The following is a 17,244-nucleotide window of genomic DNA, read 5'->3' as shown; positions in this document are numbered from 1 at the left end:
GCTGATGAGAGAGTCAAAGAGAGTTAGTGAATTTGAAGATAGAGCAGGAGAAAGTAGCTAGTTTGAAGAACAGAGAGAAAACAGATTAAAGAAAATAAAGAGCCTCGAAGAACTGTGGGATAAGATCAAGTGGCCTAACACATATGTAATTGGAATCTGGAAGCAAAGGTGATAGAATGGAGCAAAAAAGATATATGAAGAAATAATGACCAAATATTTCCCAGTATGGGTTTATTCTAGTAGTATAAGGTTGATCTAACAGTAAAACATAGCATAATATACCTCATTTTAAAAATACAGAAGAGTCTTAATGCCTTAATGGGTGCAGAAAAAAGCGGTTGATAAAATTTAATGGCAATTCATGATTGAAATCTCTGCCACCAGGACTGGAAGGGAACATGATTATTCTGACAACAGTACAAAAAAACTCCACTAAACTTTATACTTATTGGTGGACTATTAAAAGCTTTCCCCTAGAGATTGTGAATGAGACAGACAAAAATGCCTGCTATTTTTATTTTTTAAATAGTATTTTGCTAGAAGGCTTACTTTGTGCAATAAGTGAAGAAAATAAAATACCTAAAAATTTGAAAGGAGGACGTAACACTATATTTGGAGATAATATGGCTATATATATAGGAAATGCAAAATAAACTGTACATTATCTATTAGAGCTCATATGTAAATTTACCAGTGTTGCTGGTCAATATCCGAAGTCATTTTATTTCTTATTCCAGCAACCCATCAAAAAGATAAAATTTTGTAAAAATGGTACAATTTATAATTATATTGAAATCAAATCCTTGGGAATGTATCTACTAAAATTTGTGTATATCTCTACACAGAAAATTACACAATATTAAAGTATGACCTAAGTAAATGAGGCATATAACATTTATGGAATATTCAATATTGTAAAGATACATCTTCTTAAATTGACCTATGGATTCCACAAACCCCTAATTACAATCCCAATTGGCTTCTTATAAATAACCAAACAGAAATGCCTACATTTGTGTGTTAAAAGACATACAGTTGATCCTTGAACAACATGGGTTTGAACTGCATGGGTCCACTTACACATGGATTTTCTTCCACCTCTGCCACCCTTGAGACATCAAGACCTCCTCTTCCACCCCAGCCTACTCAATGTAAGATGATGAGGATGAAGACCTTTATGATGATCCACTTTCACTTAATGAATAGTTATATCTTCTCTTCCTTATGATTTTCTTAATATTTTCTTTTCTCTAGCTTACTTTATTGTAAGAATACAATATATATTACATATAACATAAAACGTGTTAATGAACTATTTTTGTTATCAACAAGATGATTAATAGTAGGTTATTAGTGATATTTTGGGGGAGTCAAAAGTTACATGTGAATTTGCAGCTACATGGGGGTTGGCACTGTTAACCCCATGTTGTTCGAGGATCAACTGTACAAGATGCCTATAGTACTGTTATTCATAATTGCCGCAAATTTTTTTTTTTTTTTTTTTTTTTTTGAGACTGAGTTTTGCTCCTGTTGCCCAGGCCAGAGTGTAATGGTGCCATCTTGGCTCACTGCAACCTCTGCCTCCCGGGTTCAATTGATTCTCCTGCCTCAGCCTCCCCAGTAGCTGAGATTGCAGGCACGCACCACCACACCCTGCTAATTTTTTGTATTTTTAGTAGAGACGGAGTGTGACCATGTTCGCCAGGCTGGTCTTGAACTTCTGACCTCAGGTGATCCACCTGCCTCGGCCTCCCAAAGTGCTGGGATTACAGGCATGAGCCACCATGCCCAAATTGCCACAAAATGGAAGCAGTCCAAATGTCTATCAGTGCCAGAATCAAAAAATAAATTGTGGTATATTCATATAGTCAGATAGTATACAATAATGGAAATGAACAATTACTGTTAAATACAATCACATAAATACATCTCACCAAGAAGTCATACACAAATGAATACATTTTATATAGTTCCATTTATGTTTATTTTAGACTTAACATAGGCACAACTAACCTGTGGTATTGAAAGTTAGTATAGTGATTATCTCTGAGGTAGGAGCACATTAATTTTGTAGTAATTCACGTATGATTTTCATACTGTCATGTGTAACACCAGATTAAAGGGATAGTAAATATTTATTTTTCCATATAATTTTTGCAGGTCAGGGGTTTGGGAATGTCTTAGCTGGATGGTTCTTATTTGGGGTAGAAAAGTTGATAATTCTGAATTGATGTTTACAAATAATTTTTTTTTAATTAGAAGCTCTAAAATTCCAGAGGATGACAACATGAGAAATAATGGTGTAGAAGGTGGTATTAGTTTATGGCCATACCACCTTAAACAAGCCAGGTCTCATCTGATCTTGGAAGCTAAGCAAGGTTGGGCCTGGTTAGTACTTGGATGCGAGACAATCTGGTAATACCGGATGCTGTAGGCTTTAAAAAAAAAGGAAAGTGGTTGGCCGGGTGTGGTGGCTCATGCCTGTAGTCCCAGCACTTTGGGAGGCCGAGGCAGGAGGATCACTTGAGGTCAGGAGTTCGAGACCAGCCTGGCCAATATGGTGAAACCCCCGTCTCTACTAAAAATACAAAAATTAGCTGGGTGTGATGGTGTGTGCCTGTAATCCCAGCTATTCAGGAGGCTGAGCAGGAGAATTGCTTGAACCCAGGAGGCAGAGGTTGCAGTGACCTGAGACTGTGCCACTATACTCCAACCTGGGCAACAGAGTGAGACTTTGTCTCAAAAAAAGTAAAAAAAGGAAGGTGGTATTAGATGGAAGTAAAAGTATGCTGTGTATGTGTGTTGTCATCTTGTATGGGAGGAAAATATGGTAATAATATAAAACTTTATTGTAATATTATAGATATAGCTAATATAATATTTAATTATATAAAGAATGTAAATTGAATGTAAAGCTTTCAAAATGTCGAAGAAAATGGAGTGAGGAAAAGTTGATTGAAAATTGATAAGGAAAAAATTGATTGAGGTAAAGCCTTCAAATAGACAACAGGAAAGAAATCGGTTAGAAGTAAGTGTAACTGTATGTGTTATCTCTTGCTATGTGGTATATTGGACCAAAAATTCACAGCTTATAAGTAATACTTACTATTCCCTAGTTGCTATGGTCAGGGATCTGAGAGAATCTGTCCAGTTTGATTCAAGGTCCCTCCCTCGTATGAGTTTATAATCAAGTCGTTGGCCTAGCCTGCAGTCATCTGGGCCTGGAGGATCCACGTAATTTTACTTATATAGTTGTTGACAAGCCTCAGTTTCTCCCTGGCTGTTGGCCAGATGCTTTAGTTTCTCACTTTGAGAGCCTTCCCTCCTTCCTTCCTTCCTTCCTTCTTTGCTTCCTTCCTTCCTTCTTTGCTTCCTTCCTTCCTTCCCTCCTTCCTTCCTTCCTTTTTTTATTATACTTTAAGTTCTGGGGTACATGTGCAGAATGTGTAGAACGTGCAGTTTTGTTGCATAGGTATACATGTGCCATGGTGGTTTGCTGCACCCATCAACCTGTCATCTACATTAGGTATTTCTCCTAACGCTATCCCTCCCCTGGCTTCCCACCCGCGACAGGCCCCGGTGTGTGATGTTCCTCTCCTTGTGTCCATGGGTTCTCATTGTTCAACTCCCACTTATGAGTGAGAACATGTGCGGTATTTGGTTTTCTGTTCTTGTGTTAGTTTGTTGAGAATGATGGTTTCCAGTTTCATCCGTGTCCCTGCAAAGGACATGAACTCATCCTTTTTTATGGCTGCATAGTATTACATGGTGTATATGTGCCACATTATCTTTACCCAGTCTATCATTGATGGGCATTTGGGTTGGTTCCAAGTCTTTGCTATTGTGAATAGTGCCACAATAAACATACGTGTGCATGTGTCTTTAGAGTAGAATGATTTATAATCCTTTGGGTATATACCCAGTAATGGGATTGCTGGGTCAAATGGTATTTCTGGTTTAAATCCTTGAGGAATTGCCACACTGTCTTCCACAATGGTTGAACTAATTTACACTCCCAACAGTGTAAAAGAGTTCCTATTTCTCCACATCCTCTCCAGCATCTGTTGTTTCCTGACTTTTTAATGATTGCCATTCTGAGTGCCGTGAGATGGTATCTCATTGTGGTTTTGATTTGCGTTTCTCTAATGACCAGTGATGATGAGCTTTTTTCCTGCCTGAATGTTCTCACAGCATGGCAGCTGGCTTCTCCCAAAGCAAGGGAATTGAGAGAAAGAGTGAGCCTGATATGGAAGTTGCAGTGTTTTATAACCGAATCTCAAAAGTGACAGGCCATCACCTCTCATGTATTCCTTTGGTCACACAGACAAACTCTGGTGTATATAATGTCTACACAAGGATGTGGAATTGTAGAAGTGGATATTTTGGGGGGCCATCTTGGAGGCTGGCTAGAACACAAAATATAACATTTATCATAATGAATGTAATTGAATTTACATATTAAAAGAGGCTCAGATTGGGTAAACAAAATGAAACAAGAGACCTTTATGCCTTTAGAAAAGACACAAACAAAATGACAGGAAACATTGAAAATAAATATATAAAAAATGTATACTAACTATACACTCACACACATAAAAAATGCCATGTAGCAATATTAATATAAGCCAAAATAGGAATCAGTGTGTAGTGCACTAAAAATGACAAAATGGGCCAGGCATAGTGGCTCACGCCTGTAATCCTAGCACTTTGGGAGGCCAAGGTGAGTGGATTGCCTGAGCCCAGGAGTTCGAGACCAGCCTGGGCAACATGGAAAAACCCTGTCTCTACTAAAAATACAAAAAAATTAGCCAGGCGTGGTGGCACGTTCCTGTAGTCCCAGCTACTTGGGAGGTTAAGGCACGAGAATCTCTTGAACCCAGGAGGCGGAGGTTGCGGTGAGCCAAGATTGTGCCACAACACTCCAGCCTGGGTGACAGCGTCTCTGTCTCAAAAAATAAATAAATAAATAAAAATGACAAAATGGAATTTTGTATTTTGACAAAAGTAATGGTCTAAAAAAATATAACAGGAATGAACTTGTATATGCTTAATATTAACAATATATAGTTTCAAAATATGCACATCAAAATCTTAATACAGGAAACTAAGTCCTCTTGATCTCTTCATGGAGACTTTAACACAACTGTCTCAGAAACTGAGAAATCAAGTATAAAAATGTAAGACTGTAACTGATTTGTATGTTACTGATAACAAAATTGACCTCCTATTTAGAACCCTGCATCTAAGAGAGAATATACAGTATTAATTCTTTCTAAAATTTTAAAGTGAAAACTGTACTTATAGAAAACTGCATAAAACATAATAGTTGTGTGTCCAATATATACAGTTGCTATGAAACACCCTTATAATGACCACATGTATTAGGAAGTAGCACATTTCTTTGTACCCCAGAAATGCTTTATATATCCTCCTTGATCATGATTATTTACCCCCAGAGCAAATTACTATCCTAATTTCATATCAAATTTTTCCTGGGTATGCATCCCTAAACAGTAAAGTTTAGTTTTGCCTTGTTTTGAATGCTCTGTCAATAGAATCATGTTATATTTTGTGTCTTCTTTTTTTTTTCTTCTAGTGAAAGTATAGAGATTTACTGCAAAGAGAAATGTACAAACTCAAGAAAGGGGAGTGTGGGCATACTCAAGAGAGAGTTCCATACAAGGGGGGTTTGGGGCTGCTACCTTTATGGGTTGCTTTAACTAAGGGGTAGAATATTTATGAAAATCTCTAGGAAAAGGTGGCGATGTCTCTGAACTGTAGTGCCACCCACTCATACCCAATGCGGGTGTTCTTGGAACTGTCATGGCACCAATGGGTGTGTGACTTAGTATGTTAATGAGCATATAATGAGGTCCTAGGTGAAATCTAGGTCAAATCCAGTGCCATATTGGGTCTGGTTGGTCTTAGCCAGCTCTGTTCACATGTTGTTCACTTACCAGCCCATAGCCTCTAGTCATGTGAAACTGCTGCCTGGAGTTTTCTATACTCAGGTGACCACCCAGTATTATTCCTGTCTCATTTTATCCCCCTCAGAGACTTCCATCCCTTATTCTTAAGGGTTGATGAGGGAGGAGGACAGTTTTCTATATCTGCTTCCTGCTGATTTAGGGGCATTGGCCCTGCCTGGCACCAGCATGGAAACCTCTGGCTGCCTGCTCTAAGGGTCCCAAGGGTGGGTCATCAGAAGAGTCTGCATCTGAGGCAGGGATTGCTTGGAATCCTTGCATGACCATCATTTTGACGTGGAACTTTGCAACCTAGAAGACATAACTTTACAAAGAGGTTAAACAAGCAAGGACTAAAAACCAATAATAAGAGGATAGCTACTAGAAGTCCTAGGGAAGGTAGGAACCATGTCACACTAGGTAGGTAGCCTTTGATGGGGTCCCAGATGGCTTGCATGATAGAGTTATTGAAATTATTTAGCTGGATAGCCCGTTGGTAAATCTTTTGAACTTGTAGTTCAGCTAATACTGAACTGTTAGTATAAGAACAGAAGATGGGGCTTATTGCAGCGCAAGCCCCTCCGAGCAGTTGATGCTTTGGCCCAGTTAGGGCCTCATGCAGTGGCTTAGTAATGAGCTGAAATCCTGGGATCCAAATCGTGCCATACCTAGGAAAGTTATGAGTTGCTTCTTCATTTGTGAAGGTCTCGTCTTTAAGATAGCCTCCTATTGTTTGACAGACAAGATCCGGTTTCCTGGGCTTAGGATGTATCCCAGATATTTTATTTCCATTTTAGAAATCTGGGCCTTAGATGGAGAGACCTGATAATCTTCTTTCTCCCAGGAAGTTTAGGACTTGAATGGTATTCTTATCTGAGTTCTCTTTAGTGGAACTATATACAAGGATGTCATCCACATCTTGGAGTACGGCTTCCCTTTCTACCTCTAGCTCCCTTAATTCTCATGCCGAGGCATTGCTGAACAAGTAAGGGCTATCCCTAAAGCCCTGAGGCAGTACTGTGCAGGTGTACTGCTGGGTAATAATAGTTTCAGGATTAGTCCACTCAAAAGCAAACAAATATTGAGAGTCAGTGTGCAGAGGGATACAAAAAAAAAAGCATCCTTGAGATCTTATACCATGAACCAGCCCTTGCTCTAATGTCCCAGCTTCCTACACTAGAAGCGGCAACCATTTCCTACAGGTTTGCTGTTAGGGCTGTTTGGTCCTTGGGCGAAGAATCCCCCTGGGTGTCATTTGGGCCTGCTGTCTGTCCCATTGTTTGCCATGCTGAGTCCTTTCAGCCTCTTCAGCCCTATCCCTATTATTGAATAACCTAAAAGCTACATGAAACATGTGAGTAATAGGCATTTGGGATCCCAAAGCCAATTTCTGCACTTTCCTCCTCATGTTCCTCCTGATGTCAGATGCTGATAGACTAATAAAGTATGTCCTTAGAAAAATTTGGCCAGCATCAATATTGGGTTCAATGTTAGCATATATTTTTTAGGGCCTTCACAAGGCTCCCCTGGAACACAGCAGGGTTTTCATCTTTTCTTTGAGTTATTTCCCTTATTTTATTATAGCTCACAGGCTTAGTGGTACCTTTTTTTCATTCCTTTCACTAAACAAGTCATCATGTGATTTTTTTTTTTCTTAGATAAGCCTGGCCCTGTTGATAATTCCAATTAGGGCCACTGTTAGGCACAGACATGGCCTTTACAGTATATTGTTCGGGGTCCCAAGCCAACAAGGTGTCAGCATAAGCCTGGGCCTGTGCCCAAATACACTGCTTTTCCTCAGGGGTACAACACATGGACAAGATAATATGAATATGTCCCCAGGTTAACTCAGATGAGAGTGAGAGAGCCCAGAACCCCTCCATAACTTTAGTTAGGTCCTCTGAAAATTGGCCCAACCTCTGTCTGCAGTAGGCTAGATCAGACATCGAAAAAGATACACCCAGATAGTCCCAGCACCCCCACTGGCCACCTCCCTAAGTGGGCATAACTTAGAATGGTCAAGAATGTAGGAAATGCACTGTGGGCAACCCTAGCAGGGCTCTGCTCCTTCTGTAGAGAAGGGTGTGAAGGTTGGTAAGGAGATGGACTAGCAGGAGTCTGGGGGTACATTTCCCAAAAGGGGGATCGTGCAGGGTATCTGGTGTCCCATTTGGTTCCCCTAAAGGGCTGTGAGCCTAACAAAGGCAGCAGTTCCCGCGAGGGTCAAGGTTCTGATAAAGAGCCGTGAAGGCTTGTATTAATACATATGCTACTTCAGTCCACTTCTTCTGATGTTTACAAAAAAGATTTAATTCCAAGATGGTATTGCATTTTACGGTCCTAGACTCTGGCCATTGCACCCCATTTTCTAAAAGAGAGTTACCCATAGCCTTGACTTGTCCTCGGCACGACCTGAAAGAGAAAAGAACAGTATAGTTTCCTCTTCGGAGGGACTAGTTCCAGCATTTACAAAATGCCAGGTGAATGAGCTGGTGGTTCTAATGTGGCTGTGGATGCTCTGGGCTAGGTGGCCATAAAGATGATACTGGTGGACTGCAGTGGAGTCCCCAGATGCCAATGGGACCTCAGCCCCAGCCAGTGTCCAGGCTCTTGACACCAGCTCCATGGTCAGGCCGGGGAGACAGTTGTCCATGTTCCCTTGGCTGGCTGCCTTGGTGTCCAGGTGTCCCTGGAGCCCTAGTGTTGCCCAGGCGTCCATGGCCCCTGGGGCTTTGCTTTCAAGGTTGAGTAGGATGAGTGTGGACCTAGTTTGAAAGCAGCAAGCCTGCCAAAATCCATCTGAATATTTATTACCAAGTAAAACTTCGTAGTAGAGATAATTCAGCATGGCCAAATAATAGCCACCTTGAAGGGCCCCCTTAAAACAATAGGCCTAGATTTGGCATTCCAGCGGACCTATTTTGCTGTGTCCAGAGTTCACTAAACTTTTGTGTGAAGTATGAGGAAGAAGCATGAGAAGAGAAAACCACAAAAGCAGGGTTTAAAGAGAGATGGGAAAGGGAAAACAGTTCCCAACCAAGGTCAGTGTCTTAGCGCAGCTGGTCCCTTGGGAGAACAGAAGACTTCCCAGGAATAAGTCATAATGCTCCTTGGCAGCTGTCCAGCCACTGGGACATGGGATTTTACCCTACTCACCCTCATTAGCCTCTTGCCCAGGAGGCCCATGGCACCTCAGAGCTCAGGTGTAGGTCAAAGCCTTCCCACCTCCATTTGTCACTGTCAGGGCGAACTGCGTTTTCCAGCTGGAGGAAGCAGAGGCACTACGGCTGAGGGGAGTCAGGCTGTAGGAACAAGGAAGAAAGTAGCAGTAACTCCAGAGAACGAGAAGACTCCAATTAAGGCCCCAATGGGACTTACCAACTGCTGGTGGTTCTGATGTGGCTGATGATGCTCTGGGCTGGATGGCCATAAAGATGATACTGGTAGGCTGGAGGGGGGGGGTCCCCAAATGCCGATGGGACCTCAGCGCCAGCCGGTGTCCAGACTCTTGACACCATCATGAGAAGGAATTCAAGGATGAGTCAGAAAATAGTGAAAGTACAGAGATTTTATTTCAAAGCAAAAAGTGCACACTCAAGGGAGTGTGGGGGTACTCAAGAGAGTTGCATCTTGTTTTGTTCATTTAGTATTTTCTTCTAAGATTTCACCCTTGTTTTTGCTTATAGCTTTTGTTCACTTAAATTCTATTTTATATTTCCTTGATAATTTCCCAGCTTATAACTTTTGAGATGTAACTCATAAACCATAAAACTCACCTTTTAAAAGTATATAGTTAATTTTTAGTATATTCACAAAACTATGTAACCACCACCACTAATTCCAGACCATTTGCATCACCTCACAAAGAAAGCACCCAACCCATTAACAGTCACTCTGCATTCTCCTTTTCCCTCTCGCCCTGGAAAATACAAATCCATTTTTTTGTCTCTGGATTTGCCTGTTCTGGACATCTCATATAAATGGAATCACACAATATGTGGCCTTTTGTTTCTGGCTTCTTTCATTTAGTATAATGTTTTCAAGATTCGTTTATATTGTAGAAGTTATCAGTACTTCTCTTTATGGCTGAATAATATTACATTGTATAAATATACCGTATTTTATTTATCCATTCATCTGTTGATGGACATTTGGCTCGTATTCATTTTTTGGCTATTAATGAATAATGCTGCTATAAATGGTCATGTGTAATTTTTTATGTGACAATACATTTCAGTTCTTTGGGGTACATACCTAGGATCAGAACTGCTAGGTCATAATATAACTCTGTGTCTAGCTTTTTGAGGAACTGCCAAACTGTTTTCCAAGGGGGCTGCACCATTTTCCATTTTATCAGTAGTGTTTGAGAGCCCAATTTCTCCACATCCTCACCAACACTTGTCATTGTCTGTCTTTTTTATTATACCCACCCCAGTAGGTGTAAAGAGGTTGTGTGAATCTAGTTGTGGTTTTGATTTGCATTACCCTAGTGATCAGTGATGTTGAACATCTTTTCATGTGTTTATTGCCAATCTCCATATCTTCTTTGGAGAGATGCCTATTTAAAATCTTTGCCCATTTAAAAAATTAGGTTGTCTTTTATTGTTGAATTGTATTAGTTCTTTGTATATGTTGGATACTAAACCCTTATCAGATACATAATTTATAAATGTTTCCTCCAATTCTTTGGGTCATCTCTTCACTTTCTTGATATAGTGTTCTTTCAAACACAGAAGTTTTACATTTTGATAAAGTCTAATTTTTCTGTGTTTTGTTTGCTTGTGCTTTTGGTATTACCCCTAAGAAACCATTGCCTAATTCAAGGTCACAAAGATTTACACCTGTTTTCTTCAAAGAGTTTATTATAGTTTTACATTTTACATTTGGGTCTTTGATCCATTTTGAGATCATTTTTGTGTATGCTGTGGGATAGAGATTCAACTTAATTCTTTGCATGTGGCTATCCAGTTGTCTCAGCACCGTTTCATGAAAAACGATTTGTTCTCCATTGAATTGTCTTGGTGTGCTTGTCAAAGAATTGTGATTTTAATTTCTAATTTCCTAATTACTAATGAGTTTGACAACTTTTTTCTGTGTTTACTATCCATTTGGATATCCTTTCTATTGAAATATTTGTTTGAGTTTTACCCAGTTTTTAACTTGGTTTTCTGCTTTGTTCCCATTGATTTTCTAGGAGTTCTTTATGTCTTCTAAATGTGAGTCCGATGTTGATTGTATGTGTTGCAAGTAGCTTTTCCCATACTCTAGCTTGTCTCTTCCCTTTCTTGGTGTCTTTTGATGAACAGAGCTCCGTAAGTGTAAGGTAGTCACATTTATCAGTCTTTTACTTTAGAAATAATGTGTTTGGTGTCTTGCATAAGAAACATTTTCTTACCCCAAATTCACAAATATATCCTCTGTACTATTTTCCATAAGCATTATAGCTTCAACTTTCATATTTTAGGTTTGTAATCTACCTGGAATTGTTTCATTTTTTTTTTCTTTTTTGGATATAGTATAAGGTAGCAATTTAATTTCTTTCTTCTCCATATGAAAACCCAATAATCTCAGCACCATTAGTTGAAATATGTGTCTATACCCACTACTGTGCAATATTAGCTTTGTTATAAATCAGGTGTCTTTATGTGGATTGGTCTATTTCTGGACTCATATTCACCACTGCTTTTTATTTCTGTTTATGTGCCAGCAACACTCCACCTTATTATAATAGCTTTCTTTATGTTAGTGTAGATGTATGCTAGAGAAAATCTTCCTCCCTTACTTTTCTGTAAGAGTATTTTCCAGCTCTTGTTTTGCATCATTACTTCTCTGTGTGTGTCTATATAATTTCATCAGGGATTACTTAACCTTCCCTTCAGTGGAGTTTGCCTCTTCCTAGGAGATTCTCACCAAGGCCATTAATAACAACCAAGGAGTTCCAACCTGGCCAGTCTTATTTTCCAGATATTTTATTCATTGGGACTTTAGGGCTATTTCCCAGTTGCAGTTAGTGATTAGCCATCCTGATGACTGGGCATGCTGCCAAAATGCCAAAATGAGTCTTTCACCTCTGGTCCTTTGCTTTACTTCCAGAAAACTGCAGTAGAAACCTGACCTGATGTCCAGTTTTCTGTGACAGTTTTTATGTAATTAAGCGCAAATGGCCAAGTAGAATTCATACAAAGCCTACTAGAGTAATATTCATTGGAGGAAAACTTATAAAGCCTGGAGTAATACCAGATGCACTTGTCCCCACATTGCCCATTCTTTCTATGTCAGTGTATAGAAGTCTAATGACATTTTCATACTATGAGATAGGGCTTACAACCTTGGGCTTTATAGTTTTTAAACTGCATTAAGTACAGAAGCTGAAGCTACTCACTGTTGTGATCAGGTGGGATACAAGAGCAGCATAATGTGGCATAGTTTTGGTGTAAGCCCAATTTTGACAACCTAGCATAAATTTTGAGGGGAAGTATCCCTTCCCTGGTATAATCAGAGGCTGTGACCCAGATCTTACAGGTATATGACATGGCATGCCAGTAGCAGGAATCTTTGTCAGCATTCACGGTTAGGGAAGTATTTAATATCAGCCTTCCCTTGGCATGATGAAAAGTCTGGCGTGTTTGCTATATTTTTTAAAAAAGATACCCCTTATCAAATCATAAAAGTTCTTTTTATTCCTAGTTTATTGATTTTTTATGATGAATAGATTTGTTTTTAATTTTACCATGCTTTTCCTGCCATTAGGGAAAGAATCATTTGATTTTTCTTTGTTATTATTATAATATTGTTTAATTTTAATCTGTTCATATTATTTTCTAGTTTTGTACTACCTTGAGAAATTTGGACTCTTTTTTTTTTTTTTTTGATCATTCTTGGGTGTTTCTCGCAGAGGGGGATTTGGCAGGGTCATAGGACAATAGTGGAGGGAAGGTCAGCAGATAAACAAGTAAACAAAGGTCTCTGGTTTTCCTAGGCAGAGGACCCTGTGGCCTTCCACAGTGTTTGTGTCCCTGGGTACTTGAGATTAGGGAGTGGCGATGACTCTTAACGAGCATGCTGCCTTCAAGCATCTGTTTAACAAAGCACATCTTGCACCACCCTTAATCCATTCAACCCTGAGTGGACACAGCACATGTTTCAGAGAGCACAGGGTTGGGGGTAAGGTCACAGATCAACAGGATCCCAAGGCAGAAGAATTTTTTGTTAGTACAGAACAAAATGAAAAGTCTCCCATGTCTACCTCTTTCTACACAGACACGGCAACCATCCGATTTCTCAATCTTTTCCCCGCCTTTCCCCCCTTTCTATTCCACAAAACCGCCATTGTCATCATGGCCTGTTCTCAATGAGCTGTTGAGTACACCTCCCAGACGGGGTGGTGGCCGGGCAGAGGGGCTCCTCACTTCCCAGTAGGGGTGGCCGGACAGAGGCGCCCCTCACCTCCCGGATGGGGCGGCTGGCCGGGCGGGGGGCTGACCCCTCCACTTCCCTCCCGGACGGGGTGGCTGGCCGGGCGGGGGGCTGACCCCCCCACCTCCTTCCCGGACTGGGCGGCTGGCTGGGCAGAGGGGCTCCTCACTTCCCAGTAGGGGCGGCCGGGCAGAGGCGCCCCTCACCAACCGGACGGGGCGGCTGGCCGGGTGCGGGGCTGACCCCCCCACCTCCTTCCCGGACGGGGCGGCTGGCCGGGCAGAGGGGCTCCTCACTTCCCAGTAGGGGCGGCCGGGCAGAGGCACCCCTCACCTCCCGGATGGGGCGGCTGGCCGGGCGGGGGGGCTGACCCCCCCACCTCCCTCCCGGACGGGCGGCTGACCCCCCCACCTCCCTCCGGACGGGCGGCTGGCCGGGCGGGGGGCTGACCCCCCCACCTCCTCCCAGACAGGGCGGCTGGCTGGGCAGAGGGGCTCCTCACTTCGCAGTAGGGGCGGCCGGGCAGAGGCGCCCCTCACCTCCCGGACGGGGCGGCTGGCCGGGCGGGGGGCTGACGCCCCCACCTCCCTCCCGGACGGAGCGGCTGGCCAGGCAGAGGGGTCCTCACTTCCCAGTAGGGGCGGCCGGGCAGAGGCGCCCCTCACCTCCCGGACGGGGCGGCTGGCCGGGCGGGGGGCTGACCCCCCCCACCTCCCTTCCGGACGGGGCAGCTGGCCGGGCGGGGGGCTGACCCCCCCACCTCCCTTCTGGACGGGGCGGCTGGCCGGGCGGGGGGCTGACCCCCACCTCCCTCCTGGAGGGGGTGGCTGCCGGGCAGAGACGCTCCTCACTTCCCAGACGGGGTGGCTGCCGGGCGGAGGGGCTCCTCACTTCTCAGATGGTGTGGCTGCCGGGCAGAGGGGCTTCTCACTTCTCAGACGGGGCGGTTGCCAGGCAGAGGGTCTCCTCACTTCTCAGACGGGGCGGCTGGGCAGAGACGCTCCTCACATCCCAGACGGGGGGGCAGGGCAGAGGTGCTCCCCACATCTCAGATGATGGGCGGCCAGGCAGAGACGCTCCTCACTTTCCAGACTGGGCAGCCAGGCAGAGAGGCTCCTCACATCCCAGACGATGGGCGGCCAGGCAGAGACGCTCCTCACTTCCCAGACGGGGTGGTGGCCGGGCAGAGGCTGCAATCTCAGCACTTTGGGGGGCCAAGGCAGGCAGCTGGGAGGTGGAGGTTGTAGCGAGCCGAGATCATGCCACTGCACTCCAGCCTGGGCACCATTGAGCACTGAGTGAACGCAACTCCGTCTGCCATCCCGGCACCTCGGGAGGCCGAGGCTGGCGGATCACTCGCGGTTAGGAGCTGGAGACCAGCCCGGCCAACACAGCGAAACCCCGTCTCCACCAAAAAAATACGAAAACCAGTCAGGCGTGGCGGCGCGCACCTGCAGTCGCAGGCACTCGGCAGGCTGAGGCAGGAGAATCAGGCAGGGAGGTTGCAGTGAGCCGAGATGGCAGCAGCACAGTCCAGCTTCGGCTCGGCATGAGAGGGAGACCGTGGAAAGAGAGGGAGAGGGAGACCGTGGGGAGAGGGAGAGGGAGACCGTGGGGAGAGGGAGAGAGAGACCGTGGGGAGAGGGAGAGGGAGAGGGAGAGCTCTCCTGAACATTTAAAGAAGTAGAGAAATTTGGACTCTTACATTCATAAAAATAGGTTATAGATGGGGTAAAGGCTTAAATAAACAGAACCTCAAATTTTCATCTAGTTAAAACTAAACATAAGAAAAATACAATCTTTTGATAGGAAAAATAAAATATTGATAGTTTTTACAACAAAAATTTAACGTCTTTTACGATTAAAAAATACATAAAGTTAGACAAAAATAGACTGGGAGAAAAATATTTGCTACACATACATTTGCTACTCATGGAGGACTAGTATCCAAATATATAAAGAACTCTTACAAATCAGGAGAAAAGATATCCTGATGGAGAAATTTGGGATTAACGCGCAGCTCCAGATGAGGAAATGCACCTGCCAATAAACAAAAATAAGCATCACCTCACTATTGATTAGAGAAATGCAGACTAAAACAAGGTGACATTATTTTTTCATCTATCAGGTTGAACAAATTTAAAGTGTTTTGTAGTATCTAGTGTTGGCTAGAACATGGGTATTCTCATACCACATTGCTGAGAATATAAATTGGTAGAAATACTTTGTAAGGTAATTTGGTAGTGTCTATTAAAAAGTAAACATGGCCAGGTGCGGTGGCACACACCTGTAGTTCCAGCTACTGGGGAGGCTGAAGTGGAAGGATTGCATGAGGCCAGGAGTTCAAGACTAGCCCCGCCAACATAGCAAGACCCTGTCTCTAAATTTTTTTTTTTAAGTTAGCCAGGTGTGGTGGTGAGCACCTATAGTACCAGCTACTTGGGAGGCTAAGGTGGGAGGATCACAGAAGGCCTTCAAGGTTGCATTGAGCTGTGATCACACCTGTAAATTGCTACTGCACTGTAGCCTAGGTGACACAGTGAGACCCGACTCTTAAAAAAAAAAAAAGTAAACCTGTACAGTGTTTGGAATCCAGCAGTTTCTCCCTTGCATATCTGCTGCAGAGAAACACTTGTACACTTTCACAAGGAAACATATACAAATATTTCAATTCCAGTATTACTTGTAATATCAAAATATTGAGAGATGTCTTTAACATCCTTTGAATTAACGATTGGACAAAATGTTTAGTTGTATTATGGGATGTTATAAAATGTTTAATCAGGAATTAATTATTGTTTCATGAAAAAAAAAACTGTGTGAAGTAAATATACAGCCAATGCCATTTCTGTAAAAGAAAAAACTACACACTGAATATAGTTTCTCCTTGTGTGTATATGTGTGTGGCGGGGGGTAAATATTTTTTTATATTGGGAAAGATAAATAACAAATTATCATTATAGTCATTATCTTTAGGGAGCTGGGAGAAGAGGACTGCATTGGGGAAGATTGTCAAAGAGGACTGTCTCCATGTTCTAAGCTTTTTTTTTATTATTATACTTTAAGTTTTAGGGTACATGTGCACAACGTGCAGGTTTGTTACATATGTATACATGTGCCATGCTGGTGTGCTGCACCCATTAACTTGTCATTTAGCATTAGATATATCTCCTAATGCTATCCCTTCCCCCTCCCCCTGCCCCACAACAGTCCTCAGTGTGTGATGATCCCCTTCCTGTGTCCATGTGTTCTCATTGTTCAATTCCCACCTATGAGCAAGAACATGCGGTGTTTGGTTTTTTGTCCTTGTGATATTTTGCTGAGAATGATGATTTCCAATTTCATCCATGTCCCTACAAAGAACATGAACTCATCATTTTTTATGGCTGCATAGTATTCCATGGTGTATATGGGCCACATTTTCTTAATCCGGTCTATCATTGTTGGACATTTGGGTTGGTTCCAAGTCTTTGCTATTGTGAATAATGCTGCAATAAACATACGTGTGCATGTGTCTTTATAGCAGCATGATTTGTAGTCCTTTGGATATATACCCAGTAATGGGATGGCTGGGTCAAATGGTATTTCTAATTCTAGATCCCTGAGGAATCGCCACACTGACTTCCACAATGGTTGAACTAGTTTACAGTCCCACCAACAGTGTAAAAGTGTTCCTATTTCTCCACATCCTCTCCAGCACCTGTTGTTTCCTGACTTTTTAATGATTGCCATTCTAACTGTTGTGAGATGGTATCTCATTGTGGTTTTGATTTGCATTTCTCTGATGGCCAGTGATGGTGAGCATTTTTTCATGTGTTTTTTGGTTGCATAAATGTCTTCTTTTGAGAAGTGTCTGTTCATA

General features: G+C 42.5%; 1 protein-coding gene, 1 long non-coding RNA gene and 1 pseudogene across 3 annotated transcripts in view, besides 1 other annotated feature; 2 read left to right on the top strand and 1 right to left on the bottom strand.

Annotated features, from left to right (window-relative positions):
• The window catches only part of COPG2 (coat protein complex I subunit gamma 2), a 162,511-nt gene that overhangs the window by 63,517 nt on the left and 81,750 nt on the right, over positions 1-17,244 (top strand). The window lies entirely within an intron of this gene.
• Positions 2,319-2,437, top strand: RNA5SP246 (RNA, 5S ribosomal pseudogene 246; annotated as a pseudogene).
• Positions 3,034-3,234: a silencer, noted in NCBI's record as "peak6720 fragment used in MPRA reporter construct". NCBI's record gives its function as "represses an SCP1 promoter by STARR-seq MPRAs in K562 erythroleukemia cells {active_cell/tissue: K562}" and the evidence as "EXISTENCE:reporter gene assay evidence [ECO:0000049][PMID:32103011]".
• Positions 8,256-12,774, bottom strand: LOC124901746 (uncharacterized). The gene is made up of 2 exons (XR_007060524.1): positions 9,123-12,774; positions 8,256-8,378 (listed from the first exon to the last, which is right to left on the bottom strand). It is a non-coding gene; the product is annotated as an uncharacterized LOC124901746 (long non-coding RNA).

This window comes from Homo sapiens, chromosome 7 (assembly GCF_000001405.40).
Source record: "Homo sapiens chromosome 7, GRCh38.p14 Primary Assembly".
NCBI lineage: Eukaryota > Metazoa > Chordata > Mammalia > Primates > Hominidae > Homo > Homo sapiens.
This window is presented reverse-complemented; position numbering and strand designations above follow the sequence as displayed.